Raw genomic sequence first — 20,253 nt, 5'->3', positions numbered from 1 at the left:
GGCAACATTTGACTTAAAAGGCACCTCTGACCCCCTGTCATGGAGGGGCATGAATGGGATAGCTAGAAGTGTGAGAATTAATGCCTTATATGTCAATATTATTTAGATAAATATTGTGGACCACAATTTGTTGCTTGTTCCAGCAAAATTTTGACTAGGAAAGACAAGTCTGTAAATCAAGAAACAACTTCATAGTTTGCCTCAGGAAATTTCCACAGATCATTTTTTCCCCCAAGCACAATAGTCTGCTTACTTGGGTGAATGGCTCGCTTATAAAAACAGCTTACTTATAAAGGCTTTGGTTCAAGACCTTTCTTTCAATTGCATCAGCCATTCCTAAACTATTATGTCACACAGTACTTTGCCCTGTTTCAAACGGTTCTCCACCTTGACCTTGCCTTTAACCAATTGATCGCAGACTCTGAAACCCTGTAAATATCCCACTTCTGACTTCTCCCTTCTGAGACACTGCTAAGCCTCCATCAAGATGGCATTTTCTCTTACTGCAGTAAGTTCTAAAAATTTTTAGTTTTGCTTTATTAACTAGTTATCTGGTGACATTATGAAATGCAATGATGGAGGGGGTGAATGAGAGTCATACATAGTCATTGGTACTTGGCAAAGTTGAAATTATTCTTGATTAGATATTGAACCAGCTCTGTGGTAGGAATTCATGCAACAAGGCGCATGATCCCTACTCGCAAGGGAATGGAGAAATGTAGTCACTCTGTTTAACTGAGAAAAGTAAAGGTTTTTTGTGTTCAATTTTATTCAGTTTTATCTATTCATGTTTGAGTTCTAGAATCATGCAGATTTTCCAATTGTGAGAAATCCCAAATAACTGGATTCTTTCTATTCCCTTTCACTTTTGCTTGCACATGTGTCAATTCATGTCTAAGCTCATCTTTCTTCGAAAAACTTGCTAAATATGGCCAGTAACAAGCTAACACAAACATTCTAACTTAGAGCTACAAGTTTGGCAAGTACTCCTTTATTATTGTCAGCCAAGTTTTTTCAAGTTTATTGCCACTGCATAGCACGGCTCTCCATCTTTCCAACATCTTACATCAATTTTATCTACTCAACAATGACACATATTTTAGGATTCTGTTAAAATAATATCCCAGTTGCAATATCATTTTTTTATGAAATAAATCCCCAAAATCAATGACTTACAAAACCAGAAGTGTATATATCTTCCTTATCATACAGACCTATGTAGGCATTCCCGGTCAGCAGATGACCTTCCATGTGGAGATTTGGGGACCTTCTTTTAAATTGTGGCTCTGCACCTTTCTGCTGCTCTGCCACTCAGAACCTTGGAATCTTCTACACTTACCTAGTGTATGGTGAATGGGAGACTATAGAATGCACATCTGGGTTTTTTCTTTTTTAAGCTATTTGACTTTAAAAAGTGACACACAGCATTTCTGTTCACATTCCATTAGCACTAACAAGCCTCATGATCCCTACTTGCAAGGGAACAGAGAAATGTAGTCTCTTTCTAGGCAGCCACTTTATAGTAACATTATTGTACTGTGGAAGGAAAAAAAATGATTTATGGCAGTAAATTACTCATCTGTCACATTCCCTCTTTGACAGCAATTTCTTTTTGATCTGGACATCAGAACACTAATTTTCTCCGGTCACATCTCTAATAATTACCCAGTGAGTTTGCTGTTTTCACTGTTGTTCAGAAGTCTCCATCATTACCTGGATTACTGCAATAAATTCCTAGTTGAAATTCTATTGCTGCTGTAACAAATTACCAGAAACCTAGTGGCTTAAAACAACTTTTATTGATTTTCTTACAGTTCTGAGGGTCAGAAGTCTCACAGGGCTAGAATGAAGGTGTTGGAAGGGCTGCGTATCTTCTGGAGGCTCTCAGGAGAATCTGTTTTCCTGCCTTTTCCAGCTTCTAGAAGCCACCTGCACTCCTTGGTTTCTTCTATTTTCGAGACAGCTGTACGCCATCTTCAAATATACCTCATTTTCTCTCTGTTTCTGTAGTCGCATCGCCTTCTCTTAATTGTTCTGCCTCTTCTTTCCCCTTATAAAGACCTTTGTAGCTACACTAGGCCTGCACAGGTAATCCACCCATCCCAAGATCCTTAACTTAATCACTTTCGCTATGTATAGTAACTCATGCCCAGGTTCTGGGTATTAGGAGGTAAATATCCTTGAAGGGCCATTACTTTGCCTACCACAGAATCCACATATGCAATCTTTAACAACTCCAGTATAGAATCCACATTGCTGCACTGCTGCCAGGGTACTCTCTCTACAATACAAAACTAATCATATCATCCTTCTAATTAAAACCCTTCAATAGTTCTCTGTTGTAAATTCTAATATTCTTACCATATATGCCATTGGATTCCTTTTGCTGTCTGATATTTTAGTAGATTTACCTGCTGGCAGAAAACACGAGGCCACTAGTGTCTGTAGTATTGTCTCCTGACACCTTTCCTGCATGTCCACTTTTTGCACCAACAACATAGAACTACATGTAGTTTTCTGAACACACTATAACATTTCACTCTTTCATAGCTTTGCATATTTGGTTCCATCTATCTGAATCTCCTCTTCGGTCCAGCTGGCAAAGTTTGATTAATATTTCAAAATTTAACACATATATCTACTCATTTGCACTCTTGGATAATTGCCTAACCTGACTAATTCAGGCTTTGCCTAACCTGACTAAATTCAACTGTTGACATGTTCAGTACCAGCATCTAAGCAGCCTATCATGGCAGGAGAAAAATATTCCACTATGATGACTTGTCTTATTTTAAAATTCGTAACTAAAAATTCTAGTGGGCCTTCAAAAGTTCCTATCAATCTGCCTACATTTCCTTAGGCTGCTAATTCTTCTCTGTCTCCATCCCTAACCACATTTCTTATCTCTCCTATCTCTTCAAAAGCCCAATTTAATGTCTCCTTTTTCCTCATACTAAGCTGAAGACTTTACTTGCTGTTCCACGCTGTCCATCCAAAAATCTACTTTCCTGTCTGTAGGAAATTATAGTTTCCCACCTTCTACCTGTTAAATGGAAGGCCTTTCAGTGTTTCTTTCTAAGGTAGCTCTTCCTCTGGGGCACTGCTTCCCGTCTCCCCTCCCACTCCAGTGTCATCACCTTTTTTTTTTTTTTTTTTTGAGATGGATTCTGCCTCTGTCACCCAGACTGGGGAGCAGTGACATGATCTCAGCTTATTGCAACCTCCACCTCCCAGGTTGAAGCGGTTCTCCTGCCTCAGCCTCCCAAGTAGCTGGGATTACAGGTGCATGCCACCACACTGAGCTAATTTTTTTATTTTTAGTAGAGATGGGGTTTCACTGTGTTAGCTGGTCTCAAACTCCTGACCTCAAGTGATCTGCCCACCTCGGCCTCCCAAAGTGCTGGGATTACAGGGGTGAGCCACTGCACCCGGCTACTCTCTGCTGTTTTTAAGAATCATTTCCATCAGTTTTAAAACATAATGCATGTTATCCTATTTCAAAACAAGCAACAAACAAAAAACATACCATTCTTGGTACCAAATCCCTTCAGTTACTGTACCATTTCTCTGCTTTCTTTTATAGAAAACCTCTTCAAAATAAAATAAATAATTCAACAATTCAAAATGAATAAGAATGAGTCGGCCATTTTCCTGCCTCAGCCTCCTGAGTAGCTGGGTCTACAGGAGCCCCCTATCACGCCTGGCTAATTTTTTGTGCTTTTAGTAGAGATGGGGTTTCATCGAGTTAGCCAGGAGGGTCTTGACCTCCTGACCTCATGATCCACCCTCCTCGGCCTCCCAAAGTGCTGGGATTACAGGCATGAGTCACCGCGCCCGGCCAGGGCAAATCTCTTTAACTACTATAATTTTCTCAGGTATAATCTTGCAATGGTGGTTTCAAAAGCTGACTGGAAGAAAGCGGAAGGAATGCTTGCCTCATCTTGAAGACATCAGGTGCATTCCTGAGAAGCTACAGAGGGCCTCCAAAACTGTATATGCTTTCAGCCCTAAAAAACCAGATCCGACCAGGGTGGAGCCAAGATGGCCAAATAGGAATAGCTCCAGTCTACAGCTCCCAGCGTGAGCGACGCAGAAGACGGTGATTTCTGCATTTCCATCTGAGGTACTGGGTTCATCTCACTAGGGAGTGCCAGACAGTGGGCGCAGGACAGTGGGTGCAGTGCACCATGTGTGAGCCGAAGTGGGGCGAGGCATTGCCTCACTCGGGAAACACAAGGGGTCAGGGAGTTCCCTTTCCTAGTCAAAGAAAGGGGTGACAGACAGCACCTGGAAAATCGGGTCACTCCCACCCTAATACTGCACTTTTCCGATGGGCTTAAAAAACGGCACACTAGGAGATTATATCCCACACCTGGCTTGGAGGGTCCTACGCCCATGGAGTCTCGCTGATTGCTAGCACAGCAGTCTGAGATCAAACTGCAAGGTGGCAGCAAGGCTGGGGGAGGGGCGCCCACGATTGCCCAGGCTTGCTTAGGTAAACAAAGCAGCCGGGAAGCTCGAACTGGGTGGAGCCCACCACAGCTCAAGGAGGCCTGCCTGCCTCTGTAGGCTCCACCTCTGGGGGCAGGGCACAGACAAACAAAAAGCAGTAACCTCTGCAGACTAAAATGTCCCTGTCTGACAGCTTTGAAGAGAGCAGTGGTTCTCCCAGCACGCAACTGGGGATCTGAGAATGGGCAGACTGCCTCCTCAAATGGGTCCCTGACCCCTGACCCCCGAGCAGCCTAACTGGGAGGCACCCCCCAGTAGGGGAAGACTGACACCTCACACGGCCGGGTACTCCTCTGCAACAAAACTTCCAGAGGAACGATCAGACAGCAGCATTTGTGGTTCATGAAAATCCGCTGTTCTGCAGCCACTGCTGCTGGTACCCAGGCAAACAGGGTCTGGAGTGGACCTCTAGCAAACTCCAACAGACCTGCAGCTGAGGGTCCTGTCTGTTAGAAGGAAAACTAACAAACAGAAAGGACATCCACACCAAAAACCCATCTGTACGTCACCATCATCAAAGACCAAAATTAGATAAAAACACAAAGATGGGGAAAAAACAGACCAGAAAAACTGGAAACTCTAAAAAGCAGAGCACCTCTCCTCCTCCAAAGGAACACAACTCCTCACCAGCAACGGAACAAAGCTGGACGGAGAATGACTTTGACGAGTTGAGAGAAGAAGGCTTCAGACGATCAAACTACTCCAAGCTACAGGAGGAAATTCAAACCAAAGGCAAAGAAGTTGAAAACTTTGAAAAAAATGTAGATGAATGTATAACTAGAATAACCAATACAGAGAAGCACTTAAAGGAGCTGATGGAGCTGAAGGCCAAGGCTCGAGAACTACGTGAAGAATGCAGAAGCCTCAGGAGCCGATATGATCAACTGGAAGAAAGGGTATCAGTGATGGAAGATGAAATGAATGAAATGAAGCGAGAAGGGAAGTTTAGAGAAAAAAGAATAAAAAGAAACGAACAAAGCCTCCAAGAAATATGGGACTATGTGAAAAGACCAAATCTACGTCTGATTGGTGTACCTGAAAGTGATGGGGAGAATGGAACCAAGTTGGAAAACACTCTGCAGGATATTATCCAGGAGAACGTCCCCAATCTAGCAAGGCAGGCCAATATTCAGATTCAGGAAATACAGAGAATGCCACAAAGATACTCCTCAAGAAGAGCAACTCCAAGAAACATAATTGTCAGATTCACCAAGCAACTCCAAGACACATAATTGTCAGATTCACCAAAGTTGAAATGAAGGAAAAAATGTTAAGGGCAGCCAGAGAGAAAGGTCGGGTTACCCACAAAGGGAAGCCCATCAGACTAACAGCTGATCTCTCGGCAGAAACTCTACAAGCCAGAAAAGAGTGGGGGCCAATATTCAACATTCTTAAAGAAAAGAATTTTCAACCCAGAATTTCATATCCAGCCAAACTAAGCTTCATAAGTGATGGAGAAATAAAATACTTTACAGATAAGCAAATGCTGAGAGATTTTGTCATCACCCGGCCTGCGCTGAAAGAGCTCCTGAAGGAAGCACTAAACATGGAAAGGAACAACCGGTACCAGCCACTGCAAAAACAAGCCAAATTGTAAAGACCATCAAGGCTAGCAAGAAACTGCATCAACTAACAAGCAAAATAACCAGCTAACTTCTTAATGACAGGATCAAATTCACACATAACAATATTAACTTTAAATGTAAATGGACTAAATGCTCCAATTAAGAGATACAGACTGGCAAATTGGATAAAGAGTCAAGACCCATCAGTGTGCTGTATTCAGGAAACCCATCTCACGTGCAGAGACACACATAGGCTCAAAATAAAGGGATGGAGGAAGATCTACCAAGCAAATGGAAAACAAAAAAAGGCAGGGGTTGCAATCCTAGTCTCTGATAAAACAGACTTTAAACCAACAAAGATCAAAAGAGACAAAGAAGGCCATTACATAATGGTAAAGGGATCAATTCAACAAGAAGAGCTAACTATCCTAAATATATATGCACCCAATATAGGAGCACCCAGATTCATAAAGCAAGTCCTGAGTGACCTACAAAGAAACTTAGACTCCCACACAATAATAATGGGAGACTTTAACACCCCACTCTCAACATTAGACAGATCAATGAGACAGAAAGTTAACAAGGATACCCAGGAATTGAACTCAGCTCTGCACCAAGCGGACCTAATAGACATCTACAGAACTCTCCACCCCAAATCAACAGAATATACATTCTTTTCAGCACCACACCACACCTATTCCAAAATTGACCACATAGTTGGAAGTAAAGCTCTCCTCAGCAAATGTAAAAGAACAGAAATTATAACAAACTGTCTCTCAGACCACAGTGCAATCAAACTAGAACTCAGGATTAAGAAACTCACTCAAAACCGCTCAACTACATGGAAACTGAACAACCTGCTCCTGAATGACTACTGGGTACATAACGAAATGAAGGCAGAAATAAAGATGTTCTTTGAAACCAACAAGAACAAAGACACAACATACCAGAATCTCTGGGACACATTCAAAGCAGTGTGTAGAGGGAAATTTATAGCACTAAATGCCCACAAGAGAAAGCAGGAAAGATCTAAAATTGACACCCTAACATCACAATTAAAAGAACTAGAGAAGCAAGAGCAAACACTTTCAAAAGCTAGCAGAAGGCAAGAAATGACTAAGATCAGTGGAGAAATGAAGGAAATAGAGACATAAAAAACCCTTCAAAAAATCAATGAATCCAGGAGCTGGTTTTTTGAAAAGATCAACAAAATCGATAGACCGCTAGCAAGACTAATAAAGAAGAAAAGAGAGAAGAATCAAATAGATGCAATAGAAAATGACAAAGGGGATATCACCACCGATCCCACAGAAATACAAACTACCATCAGAGAATACTATAAACACCTCTATGCAAATAAACTAGAAAATTTAGAAGAAATGGATAAATTCCTGGACACATACACCCTCCCAAGACTAAACCAGGAAGAAGTTGAATCTCTGAATAGACCAATAACATGCTCTGAAATTGAGGCAATAATTAATAGCTTACCAACCAAAAAGAGTCCAGGACCAGATGGATTCACAGCCGAATTCTACCAGAGGTACAAGGAGGAACTGGTACCATTCCTTCTGAAACTATTCCAATCAATAGAAAAAGAGGGAATCCTCCCTAACTCATTTTATGAGGCCAGCATCATCCTGATACCAAAGCCGGGCAGAGACACAACCAAAAAAGAGAATTTTAGACCAATATCCTTGATGAACATTGATGCAAAAATCCTCAATAAAATACTGGCAAACCGAATCCAGCAGCACATCAAAAAGCTTATCCACCATGATCAAGTGGGCTTCATCCCTGGGATGCAAGGCTGGTTCAACACACGAAAATCAATAAACATAATCCAGCATATAAACAGAACCAAAGACAAAAACCACATGATTATCTCAATAGATGCAGAAAAGGCCTTTGACAAAATTCAACAACCCTTCATGCTAAAAACTCTCAATAAATTAGGTATTGATAGGACGTATCTCAAAATAATAAGGGCTATCTATGACAAACCCACAGCCAATATCATACTGAATGGGCAGAAACTGGAAGCATTCCCTTTGAAAACTGGCACAAGACACAGATGCCCTCTCTCACCACTCCTATTCAACACAGTGTTGGAAGTTCTGGCCAGGGCAATCAGGCAGGAGAAGGAAATAAAGGGTATTCAATTAGGAAAAGAGGAAGTCAAATTGTCCCTGTTTGCAGATGACATGACTGTATATCTAGAAATCCCCATCATCTCAGCCCAAAATCTCCTTAAGCTGATAAGCAACTTCAGCAAAGTCTCAGGATACAAAATCAATATACAAAAATCACAAGCATTCTTATACACCAATGACAGACAAACAGAGAGCCAAATCCTGAGTGAACTCCCATTCACAATTGCTTCAAAGAGAATAAAATACCTAGGAATCCAACTTACAAGGGATGTGAAGGACCTCTTCAAGGAGAACTACAATCCACTGCTCAATGAAATAAAAGAGGATACAAACAAATGGAAGAACATTCCATGCTCATGGATAGAAAGAATCAATATCGTGAAAATGGCCATACTGCCCAAGGTAATTTAAAGATTCAATGCCATCCCCATCAAGCTACCAATGACTTTCTTCATAGAACTGGAAAAAACTACTTTGAAGTTCATATGGAACCAAAAAAGAGCCTGTATCGCCAAGTCAATCCTAAGCCAAGAGAACAAAGCTGGAGGTATCATGCTACCTGACTTCAAACTATACTACAAGGCTACAGTAACCAAAACAGCATGGTACTGGTACCAAAACAGGGATATAGATCAATGGAACAGAACAGAGCCCTCAGAAATAATGCCGCATATCTACAACTATCTGATCTTTGACGAACCTGAGAAAAACAAGCAAGGGGGAAAGGATTCCCTATTTAATAAATGGTGCTGGGAAAACTGGCTAGCCATATGTAGAAAGCTGAAACTGGATCCCTTCCTTACACCTTATACAAAAATTAATTCAAGATGGATTAAAGACTTAAATGTTAGACCTAAAACCATAAAAACCCTAGAAGAAAACTTAGGCAATACCATTCAGGACATAGGCATGGGCAAGGACTTCATGTCTAAAACACCAAAAGCAATGGCAACAAAAGCCAAAATTGACAAATGGGATCTAATTAGACTAAAGAGCTTCTGCACAGCAAAAGAAACTACCATCAGAGTGAACAGGCAACCTACAGAATGAGAGAAAATTTTTGCAACCTACTCATCTGACAAAGGGCTAATATCCAGAATCTACAATGTACTCAAACAAATTTACAAGAAACAAACAAACAACCCCATCTAAAAGTGGGTTAAGGATATGAACAGACACTTCTCAAAAGAACACACTTATGCAGCCAAAAAACACATGAAAAAATGCTCATCATCACTGGCCATCAGAGAAATGCAAATCAAAACCACAATGAGATACCATCTCACACCAGTTAGAATGGCAGTCATTAAAAAGTCAGGAAACAACAGGTGCTGGAGAGGATGTGGAGAAGTAGGAACACTTTTACACTGTTGGTGGGACTGTAAACTAGTTCAACCATTGTGGAAGTCAGTGTGGCGATTCCTCAGGGATCTAGAACTAGAAATACCATTTGACCCAGCCATCCCATTACTGGGTGTATACCCAAAGGACTATAAATCATGCTGCTATAAAGACACATGCACAGGTATGTTTATTGCGGCACTATTCACAATAGCAAAGACTTGGAAGCAACCCAAATGTCCAACAATGATAGACTGGATTAAGAAAATGTGGCACCTATACACCATGGAATACTATGCAGCCATAAAAAATGATGAGTTCATGTCCTTTGTAGGGACATGGATGAAACTGGAGACCATCATTCTCAGCAAACTATCGCAAGGACAAAAAACCAAACACCGCGTGTTCTCACTCATAGGTGGGAATTGAACAATGAGAACACATGGACACAGAAAGGGGAACATCACACTCTGGGGACTGTTGTGGGGTGGGAGTAGGGGGGAGGGATAGCATTAGAAGATATACCTAATGCTAAATGATGAGTTAATGGGTGCAGCACACCAACATGGCACATGTATACATATGTAACAAACCTGCACGTTGTGCACATGTACCCTAAAACTTAAAGTATAATAATAATAAAATTTAAAAAAAGAAAAAAAAAAACTTTTTTTGCTTAAGATCTGTGCCTTAGTTAGAGAAAGTTTCTTAAGAAATAATGGTATAGATCTGAAGTTAGAAAGGACTGTCCTAGGATATTTAAAACCCTGTATCTCCCATTTCCCCTCTCTCACCATACTTTGGCAACTGGTAATCTAATTTTTTTCTCTATTGATTTGCCTATTTGGGACATTTCATATAAATTAATTCACCCAGCGTATGTCTTTTTCCGTCTGGTTTCTTTCACTTAGCATAACATTTTCAAGGTTCACCCATATTGTAGTATGTATCAGTACTTCGTTATTTTTTGTGGCTGAGTAATATTCCATTGTTTAGGTATATCAACTTTTGTTTATCCACTAATCAATTGATGAATACCTTAATTCTTTCCATTCTTTGGCTATTATAAATATTGCTGCTGTGAAAAATCATGTACAAGTTTTGGTATGTATATATATTTTTTAATGCATTGGGGCAGATATATAGGTATGGAATTGCTGGTCATATAGTTAGAAAACTCTATTTAACTTTTGAAGAACTGCTAAATTGTTTTCCTCAGTAGCTGGGCCATTCTACATTCTTACCAGCAATGTATGAGGGTTTTAATTTCTCCATATCCTTGAAAATACTTGATATTTTCAGGTTTTCTCACGGCCATTATAGTAGGAGTACACTGGTGACTCATGGTTTTGATATGCATTTCCCTAATGCTTAATGATACTGAACATCTTTTCATGTGCTTTTGGCCATTTGTATATCTTCTTTAGAAAAATATCTATTTCAAATATTTTGCCTATTTTTTATTGAGTGGCTTATCTTTTTATAATTAAGTTCTAAGAATTTTTTAAAAATATACTTTGTATCTAGACCCTTATCAGATGTATGGTTTGCGGATATTTTCTTCTATTTTGTCATCTTTTCATTTTCTTGATGGTGTCCTTTGACACACAAAAGTTTTTATTAATTTTGATAAGGTCTGTCTTATCTATTTTTTCTTTTCTTGCATAAGTTTTTGTGTCATATTGAAGCAGCTTTTTTTTTTTTTTTTTTTTGAGACAAGATCTCTCCCTGTCACCCAAGCTGGAATGCAGTGGCCTGATCATGGCACACTGCAGCCTTGACCTTCCAGTCTCAGCCAATCCTCTCACCTCAGTCTCCTGAGTAGTTAGGACCACAGGCACACACCACCATGCCCAGCTAATTCTTTAAAACATGTTTTTGTAAAGACCGGATCTCCCTATGTTTCCCAGGCTGTTCTCGAACTCCTGGGCTCAAGCCATTCTCCCACCTCAGTCTCCCAGAGTGCAGGGATTACCGGTGTGAGCCACCATGCCTGGCCAAGCAGCATAGATTTTTAATCTCCCCTCTAATGCATCCACCAAAAATAAAAATACATATATATATATATACACACACACACAATAAAAATACATACAAATATGTATATGTATATATATATATATATATACACACACACACAAAACAGACATTATGACTAGGCTTGCATAACTTAAAACACAGAAAACATCCATGACTGATAAAAATCAGGCAAATTTTTATCACCTACAAACCAAAATTAAGATCTGGTAGGGTTGAACACTTTCCAGTTCCAAAGTCTTGTAGTATAAACATCTGTGTTGAGGAAAGCAGAGGAAAACAATTAGGCCTATGATGGACCTGAGACCAGAAGAACCCCAAATTTCTAAAAGGCAGCCACTGGAATTCACACAGTGGGACAATTTTGAGAAAAATAACAGAAACTGAAAGGGTCTTTGGCACAGTCTAGTTCTTAGGCAAATCTTGCCTGGGCCTGTGGACTCTTGAAACCAAGCAGCCAAAGGGCCCCTTCTGGAACAAAAGCCCACAGAAACAGGACAGGGATAATAGGGACACAGAAAAAAAAAAAAAAAAAGAGCCTCAAATAAAACTAATGGGAGAAAAAGAGCCAGGAGGTCTCTGAGAGTACAGCACCTCATAATTGAACAAATAATAAGCTCTGAAGTTGTGAATCGAAAAAAGCTATCCTGGCCAACCCTATCCTTATAGTTACAGAAAATTAACTTTACATAAAAAGAAACAACAGAAACTGATTGTAACTGAATTGCATACAAATTATTCTAGGAAAGGAAGAGAAAATAAGGAGCAGAATAACATCCCTAATAAAACCTACAGCATGCCAGAAAGAAACATGCCAACAAAAAAGATAAAAATGACATCTAATATTTTAGGATGAGCTAAAATGAATAGAAAAAATAGAATTCTGAAAAACAACATAAGTAAGAATTAGAAACACTTAGAGATGGGATAGAACTAAGGAAGGAATTAGAAATAAAATAACAAATAGATTTGGAAACAAGGACTAAAACTTCTAGTGCAGTCTTTTTTACACCACAGAGAGAATACATGCAATAGATAATGCCTTAAGAGTTACAGATGAAATGAGAAAAATTTTTAAATGAAGAAATTATAAAAAGAGAATTTTAAAATATTTGAAAGTGATGCATAAATAGAAGATATTTATAGAAGAAAACCAAAACAGAAGAAAATAATTAAAATTCATAATTCAAAAAAAATTTTTTTGAAATATTTTTAAAAAGAGAGAATATAAAATAGTATCAAAGCATATTATAAACTCAGAAAAATCAACCTACAATTGCTATTGCTGAGAAATAGTATAATCAAATTACCATACTTTATGGAAAGAAAAAGAATCTTCGCCAATGTAGCCAAAAGACCAAATCACTTATAAAGGAAGTAAAATCAGATTGCCATTAGATTTTTGACAGCAAGCTTTATCTCAGAAGAAAATAGAGTATGGTAAATATTTTTTAATTAATATATAGATGAATACATGAATGAGCAACATAAATAATTCTAGTTTTTCATTTTATATACGCACTGGATCTCTTCCTTTATCTCTAATGATGTATATTTCACAATCTTTGGGGTACCTGGATGAATTATAAAATATTCATAAGCATGTATTTTATAATATCTCCTTATTATGTTAATGGCATTAGACTATTTGCCAAACCTAAAACATAAATTTTATCTGTTTCTTTTTTGAGTTCTACCAATTTTTGCTTCAAAAAATTTGAAGCTCTGATATTAGGTTCATAAACTTTAAGAATTGTTATGTTCTTTTGATGAGTTGAGCCCTTGTCATAATGAAACAATCTTTTTAAATCCATCCTAATATTTTTGGTTCTGAAATCTACATTGTCTGATATTAATATAAGAAATCTAACTTTTAAATATTATTAGCATCATGTGTTTTCATTATTTTACTCTATTTGTATGTTTATATTTAAAGTAAATTTTTTATAGACAGCTTATTGTTGGGTTGCTTTTTTATACAATCTCTGCCTTTTGGTTGGAGGTAGTTAGGCCATTTACATTTAATGTAATCATCAACATAACTGAGTTTAAATGAACAATTTTGCTATTAGTTTTCTAGTTGTTTCTTCTGTTTTTTGTTCCCTTCCTTTTCTTGACTTCTTTTGGATTATTATTTTTTAAGAATCCATCATATCTTCTTAGTGGGTTTATTTACTATAACTTTTTATTTGTTTTTTAAGTAGTTACTTTAGGACTTATAGTATATATCTTTAACAGTTACTTTAGAATTTATAGTATATATCTTTTTAGTATATGTCTTTATAGTATTTAGCATATATCTCTAGTATATATCTTTAGATATATATCTATATCTTAGATTTATAGTATATATCTTTAGCTTATCATAGTCTACCTCCTAGTAATATTATACCACTTCAGGTACAGTAAACTTTCTTTCACCACTGCCCCCACAGCCACCATCCATCAGCCTTTGTGCTATTGCTGTTATACATTTTATTTCACTAATCCCTATGAATTCCATTATATACTATTACTAAACAACATATTTTAAACAGCCAATGATTTTTTAAAGAGACTCAAAATAAGAAAAAGTGTATTTCATTTTTACCCTCTTATTTACCATTTCTAGTGTTGTTCTTCTTTTTTTTTTTTCCAGGGGAAAGCACAAACAAAATCCCCCACTACCACAAATTATGCAGTTGAGTTTCCCACATTTGGTGAAATCACAGGTGTCAGCACATCCAGAGTGCAATGGATAAGACTTGCCATGGGAAAACCATCTATGTGATCATGGTATCTCCCCTGCCAGGTAAGTATAGTATTCTTCAGTTCTTTGCTGATTGAATGTCTTCTGGCATGGATTATTTCTGAATCTGCTGTCATTTTTTCTTCATTCCTGTATATATAATGTATTTTTCCCACTCCTTTGGATGCTTTTAATGTTTTCTCTTTATCATTTTTTTGTTTTTGTTTTGGGTTTTCGTTTTTGGTTTTTTCTTTTTTTGAGACAGGGTCCTGCTATGTTGCTCAGGCTAGAGTGAGTGGCTATGCACAGGGGTGATTCCATTACTGATGAGAACAGCAGATTTGATCATCTCCATTTTTGACCTGGGCCAGTTCACTCCTCCTTAGCAACCTGGTGGTCCCCTGCTCCTGGGAGGTCACCATACTGATACTGAAGTTAGTGTGGACACTTGATTGGCATAGTGCACTACAGCCCAGAACTCCTGGGAACAAGCAATCTTCCCACCTCAAACTCCTGAGTACCTGGGACTACAGGTACATGCCCTCAGGCCTGGCTTGGTTCTTAATAACTTGATTATGATGCATGTTCATGTATTTCTCTGTTTCTTGTGCTTGGAGTTCATGAGTCACTGAATTTGTGGGTTATATTTCTCAACAAATTTGAAAAATTTTTGGCAATAATTTCTTCAAATATTTTTAAACTTTCTCCTATTTATACCTTGTATAGGGATTCTAATTACATGTTTATTAGGCCGTTTAAATCGCTCACAACACACTGATGTACTGCTCAATACTTTTTCAGTTTTTTCTCCGGGCTTTATTTTGTATAGTTTCAATAAGTTCACTTATTGTTTTTTCTGTAGTGTCTAATGTGTTTTTAATCCCATCCCGTATATTTTCACCCCAGACATTGTAGTTTTCATATATAAAATTCTTTCCAAAGTAAAAAGGTTTTCTAAAAAGTTATTGTCAGAGAGGGGCTATGAGAGTTTTTTATATCAATTGATAATCTTTTTTTCTTTTTTTGAGACAGGTTCTCACTCTGTCTTTCAGGCTGGAGTGCAGTGGTACAAACATAGCTCACTGCAGTCTTGACCTCCTGAGCTCAAGCAATCCTCCCACCTCAGCCTCCCAAGTAGCTGGAACTCCAGGCACATGCCACCACACCTAGCTGATTAATTTTTTTTGTAGAGATACAGTCTTACTTTGTTGCCCAGGCTGAAATAGATAATCTTTATCACTGATAAAGATACAGATCCCTGTTCTAGTTATATGTTTATGTATGAAGTTATCAGTGAATGCCATAATTAGTGAGATGGTATACCTGAAATCCACATTTCATAGCATAGCTACTAAAAATTGAAGCCAAGTGACAAATCAAGGTAATATTTGACAGTTAAAAGCCTTTATCAGAAAAAACACTCAATGGTGTGGCAGTACAGTTTATAAATATTGACACAGTTCAGATATGAAGCCACTGCCCATCAAATTATAAGATTCTTATATCCTGCAACTACATTCAAAAAGCCTTTCTAAACAGAGGCCTCAGTAAATGCAGTTCACTTCTACTTACAGCATTGAAGCCTTCCTATTTTTCCTTGCTCTATCAGCTGTCCAGCCTGAGATCTTAAAAATCTTTTTCATGATTTTTAATTGAGTCTGAAACAGACCCTGCTTTATCACCTAATGATAAGAGAGAGAGAGAGAGAGGAAGGAAGGAGAGGGGGAGAAAAAGAAGAAGGAGGAGGGAAGAAATAGAAAGAGAGAGGGCAGACAGGCATTTATTTTTTTTCAGGTTCAGTAGACATTACTTGATTATCTTAAATGCCACCTTCAAACCATACAATAAAGCAAATGTGAGAGAGATCATGGCGGATGGGAGGCAGAAGTAGATTGCGCTCCCGCTTGGATGGACAGAGCACCATGTGGAGGTTCACATCGTGAACTTTTGCTCCAGAACAACTGCAGAAACAAATCAGGAAAGCCAAGAGAACCCATAGACTCTCTGAAGGAAGCAGATTGCTCCTGCAGGACCCAGAATACACCCTAAATATTGTGCTGGTATCCGCAGTTTAGAGACCCATAGACAGTTCACAACACAGAACTCTGTACAGACAAACCCCAGTACCAGCCTGGAGCCTGCTGAACTGCTGGGTGGCTGGATCCAGAAGAGAAATAACAGTCACTATAGCTCGGCTCTCAGGAAGTCACATCCCTAGGAAAAGGGGGAGAGTACTACATCAAGGGAACATCCCATGGGACAAAAGAATCTGAACAACAGGACTTGAGCCCTAGACCTTCCCTCTGACAGAGCCTACCCAAATGAGAATAAACCAAAAAACCAACTCTGGTAATATGACAGAAGTCTCTTTAACACTCCCAAAAAATCACACTAGTTCACGAGCAATGGATCCAAACCAAGAAGAAATCCCTGCTATACTTGGAAAAGAATTCAGGAGGTTAGTTATTAAGCTAATCAGGGAGGCACCAGCAGAAGGCGAAGCCCAATTTAAGGAAGTCAAAAAAATGATACAAGAAACGAGGGAGAAATTTTCAATGAAATAGATAGCATAAATAAAAAACAATCAAAACTTCAGGAAACAATGGACATGCTTATAGAAATGCAAAATGCCCTGGAAAGTCTCAGCAATGGAATCGAACAAACAGTAGGAAGAACTTTGGAGCTCAAAGACCAGGTTTTCAAATTAACCCAATCCAACAATTACATGGAAAAAAGAATAAGAAAATATGAGCAAACCCTACAAGAAGTCTGGGATTATGTTACATGGCCAAACCTCAGAATAATCAGCATTCCTGAGAAAGAAGAAAAATCTGTAAGTTTGGAAAACATATTTGGGGGAATAATCGAGGAAAGTTTCCCCCGCGTTGCTAGAGACCTAGACATCCAAATACAAGAAGCTCAAAGAACATCTGGGAAATTCAACGCAAAAAGAACATCACCTAGGTACAACAACAACAACAAAACCACAGACCAATATCCTTTATGAACATAGATGCAAAAGATGCAAAAATCCTTAACAAAATACTAGCTAACTGAATCCAACAACATATCATAAAAATAATCCACCATGATCAAGTGGGTTTCATACCAGGGATGCAAGGATGGCTTAACATATGCAAGTCAATAAATGTGATACACCATGTAAACAGAATTAAAAACAAAAATCACATGATCATCTCAATAAATGCAGAAAAAGCATTTGACAAAATCCAGCATCCCTTTATGATTAAAATTCTCATCAAAATCAGCATACAGGGGACATACCTCAATGTAATAAAAGCCATCTATGAAACACCCACAGCCAACATAATACTGAATGAGGAAAAGTTGAAAGCATTCCCTTTGAGAACTGGAACAAGACAAGGATGCCCACTCTTACCACTTCTCTTCAATATAGTATTGGAAGTTCTAGTCAGAGCAATAGGACGAGAGAAAGAAATAAAGGGCATCCGAATTGGTAAAAAGGAAGTCAAACTGTGACTGTTTGCCAGTGATATGACTGTTTACCTAGAAAACCCTAAATACTCCTTCAGAAAACTCCTAGAACTGATAAAGAATTCAGCAAAATTTTGGGATACAAAATTAATGTACACAAATCAGTAACTCTTCTACACACCAACAGCAACAAAGCTGAGAAACAAATCAAGAACTCAACCCCTTACACAATAGCTGCAAAAAAAATAAAATACTTAGGAATGTACCTAACCAAGGAAGTGAAAGACCTCTACAAGAAAAACTACAGAACTGTGCTGAAAGAAATCATAGACAATACCAACAAATGAAAACACAGCCCATGCTCATGGATTGGTAAAATTAATATTGTGAAAATGACCATACTGCCAAAAGCAATCTACAAATTCAATGCAATTCCCACCAAAATACCACCATCATTCTTCGCAGAATTAGAAAAAACAATCCTAAAATTTATATGGAACCAAAAAAGAGCACACATAGCAAAAACAAAACTAAGCAAAAAGAATAAATCTGGAGGCATCACATTACCTGATTTCAAACTATACTATAAGGCCATAGTCACCAAAACAGTATGGTACTAGTATAAAAATAGGCACATAGACCAATGGAACAGATTAGAAAACCCAGAAATAAACCCAAATACTTACAGCCAACTGATCTCCACAAAGCAAATACAAGCGTAAAGTGGGGAAAGGACACCGTATTCAATATATGGTGCTGGGATAATTGGCAAGCCACATGTAGGAGAACGAAACTGGATCCTCATCTCTCACCTTATACAAAAATCAACTAAAGATGGATCAAAGACTTAAATCTAAGACTTGAAACTATAAAAATTTTAGAAGATAACATTGGAAAAACCCTTCTAGACATTGGCTTAGGCAAAGATTTCATGACCAAGAACCCAAAAGCAAATGCAATAAAAACAAAGATAAATAGCTGGAATTTAATCAAACTAAAAAGCTTTTGCACGGCAAAAAGAACAGTCAGCAGAGTAAGCAGACAACCCACAGAGTGGGAGAAAGTCTTCACAATGTATACATCTGACAAAGGAGTAATATCCAGAATCTACAACGGACTCAAAAAAATTAGCAAGAAAAAACAATCTTATCAAAAAGTAGGCTAAGGACATGAATAGACAATTCTCAAAAGAAGATATACAAATGGCCAACAAACATATGAAAAAATGCTCGACAACACTAGTGACCAGGGAAATGCAAATCAAAACCACCTTACTCCTCCAAGAATGGCCATAATCAAAAAATCAAAAAATAATAGATGTTGGCATGGATGTGGTGAACAGGGAACACTTCTACACTGCTGGTGGGGATGTAAACTAGTACAGCCACTATGGAAAACAGTGTGAAGATTCCTTAAAGAAATAAGAGTAGAAATACCATTTGATCCAGCAATCCCACTACCAGGTATCTACTCAGAGGAAAAGAAGTCGTTATATGAAAGAGATACTTGCACACACATGTTTAAAGCACACAATTTGCAAGTGCAAAAATGGGGAACTAACCCAAATGCCCATCAATCAATGAGTGGATAAAGAAACTGTGGTATATATATAATGGAATACTACTCAGCCATAAAAATGAATTAACGGCATTTGCAGCAACCTGGGTGAGATTGGAGACTATTATTCTAAGTGAAGTAACTCAGGAATGGAAAACCAAACATCGTATGTTCTCACTTATAAGTGGGAGCTAAGCTATGAGGATGCAAAGGCCTAAGAATGACACAATGGACTTTGAGGACTCATGGGGAAAGGGTGGAAAGGAATTAAGGGGTAAAAGACTACAAACTGTGTGCAGAGTATACTACTCAGGTGATGGGTGCACCAAAATCTCACACATCACCACTAAAGAACTTACTCATGTAACCAAACACCATCTGTTCCTCAATAACCTATGAAAATAAAAATTAAAAACAAACGAAAAAACCTAAATGTAATGAGGGTGGCAATAATCATCACCCTGCCCCTTTCAGGTGAGTAAACATGGCATGCAGCTATTCACTGTATCTGAAAGTCTCACAGAAGAAATATAATGCCCTTGCCTCCTAGGATGATTTGGAAACATATTGGCAGACAAAGTTGCCTGTCTCTTGAGTCAATTACGTTGTGTAATAAAGTACATTGAAAAGTTCTGGTCAGTCAAGCTTCTGTTCATATAGCCGATGTAATTGCTTTATAAGCTAAAAGCTATTTTTTGGCCAAGTTATTTAATTGTTCTCAGTTTCCTCAATTGAAAAAGAGGAGGTTGTGCCAGTTTGTAAGAGTCCTCAGCTCCATCGGCCCACACCAAGCTGCCTGAGAATAACAAGACCCACTTTTTATTTTCATTGTTTATCAGAAATTTTGACTTCAACTTTTTGAGTTATAACCCAGTCTATCATATTTATTTGCCCACTCTTACTT

At 38.2% G+C, this 20,253-nt stretch overlaps 1 long non-coding RNA gene and 2 pseudogenes across 5 annotated transcripts in view; 1 reads left to right on the top strand and 2 right to left on the bottom strand.

Annotated features, from left to right (window-relative positions):
• The first annotated feature begins 462 nt into the window (after positions 1-462).
• Positions 463-20,253, top strand: part of LOC105377374 (uncharacterized) — a 46,775-nt gene continuing 26,984 nt past the window's right edge. For 2 of the 5 annotated variants that reach the window (NR_199843.1, NR_199845.1), the window contains exons 1-3: positions 463-508; positions 3,876-4,123; positions 14,247-14,399. This is a non-coding gene — a long non-coding RNA (uncharacterized LOC105377374). Of the gene's footprint in view, positions 509-3,875; positions 4,124-14,246; positions 14,400-15,368; positions 18,039-20,253 lie in introns of those variants that run through there. The other 3 variants (NR_199847.1, NR_199844.1, NR_199846.1) reach the window with 2 other exon arrangements.
• On the bottom strand, positions 14,244-14,407 carry RNU1-138P (RNA, U1 small nuclear 138, pseudogene; annotated as a pseudogene).
• RN7SL184P (RNA, 7SL, cytoplasmic 184, pseudogene) lies at positions 14,594-14,890 on the bottom strand (annotated as a pseudogene).

Source organism: Homo sapiens, chromosome 4 (assembly GCF_000001405.40).
Source record: "Homo sapiens chromosome 4, GRCh38.p14 Primary Assembly".
NCBI classification, from domain to species: domain Eukaryota; kingdom Metazoa; phylum Chordata; class Mammalia; order Primates; family Hominidae; genus Homo; species Homo sapiens.
Note: the sequence above shows the minus strand (reverse complement) of the source record. Positions and strands in the feature narration are given on the sequence as shown.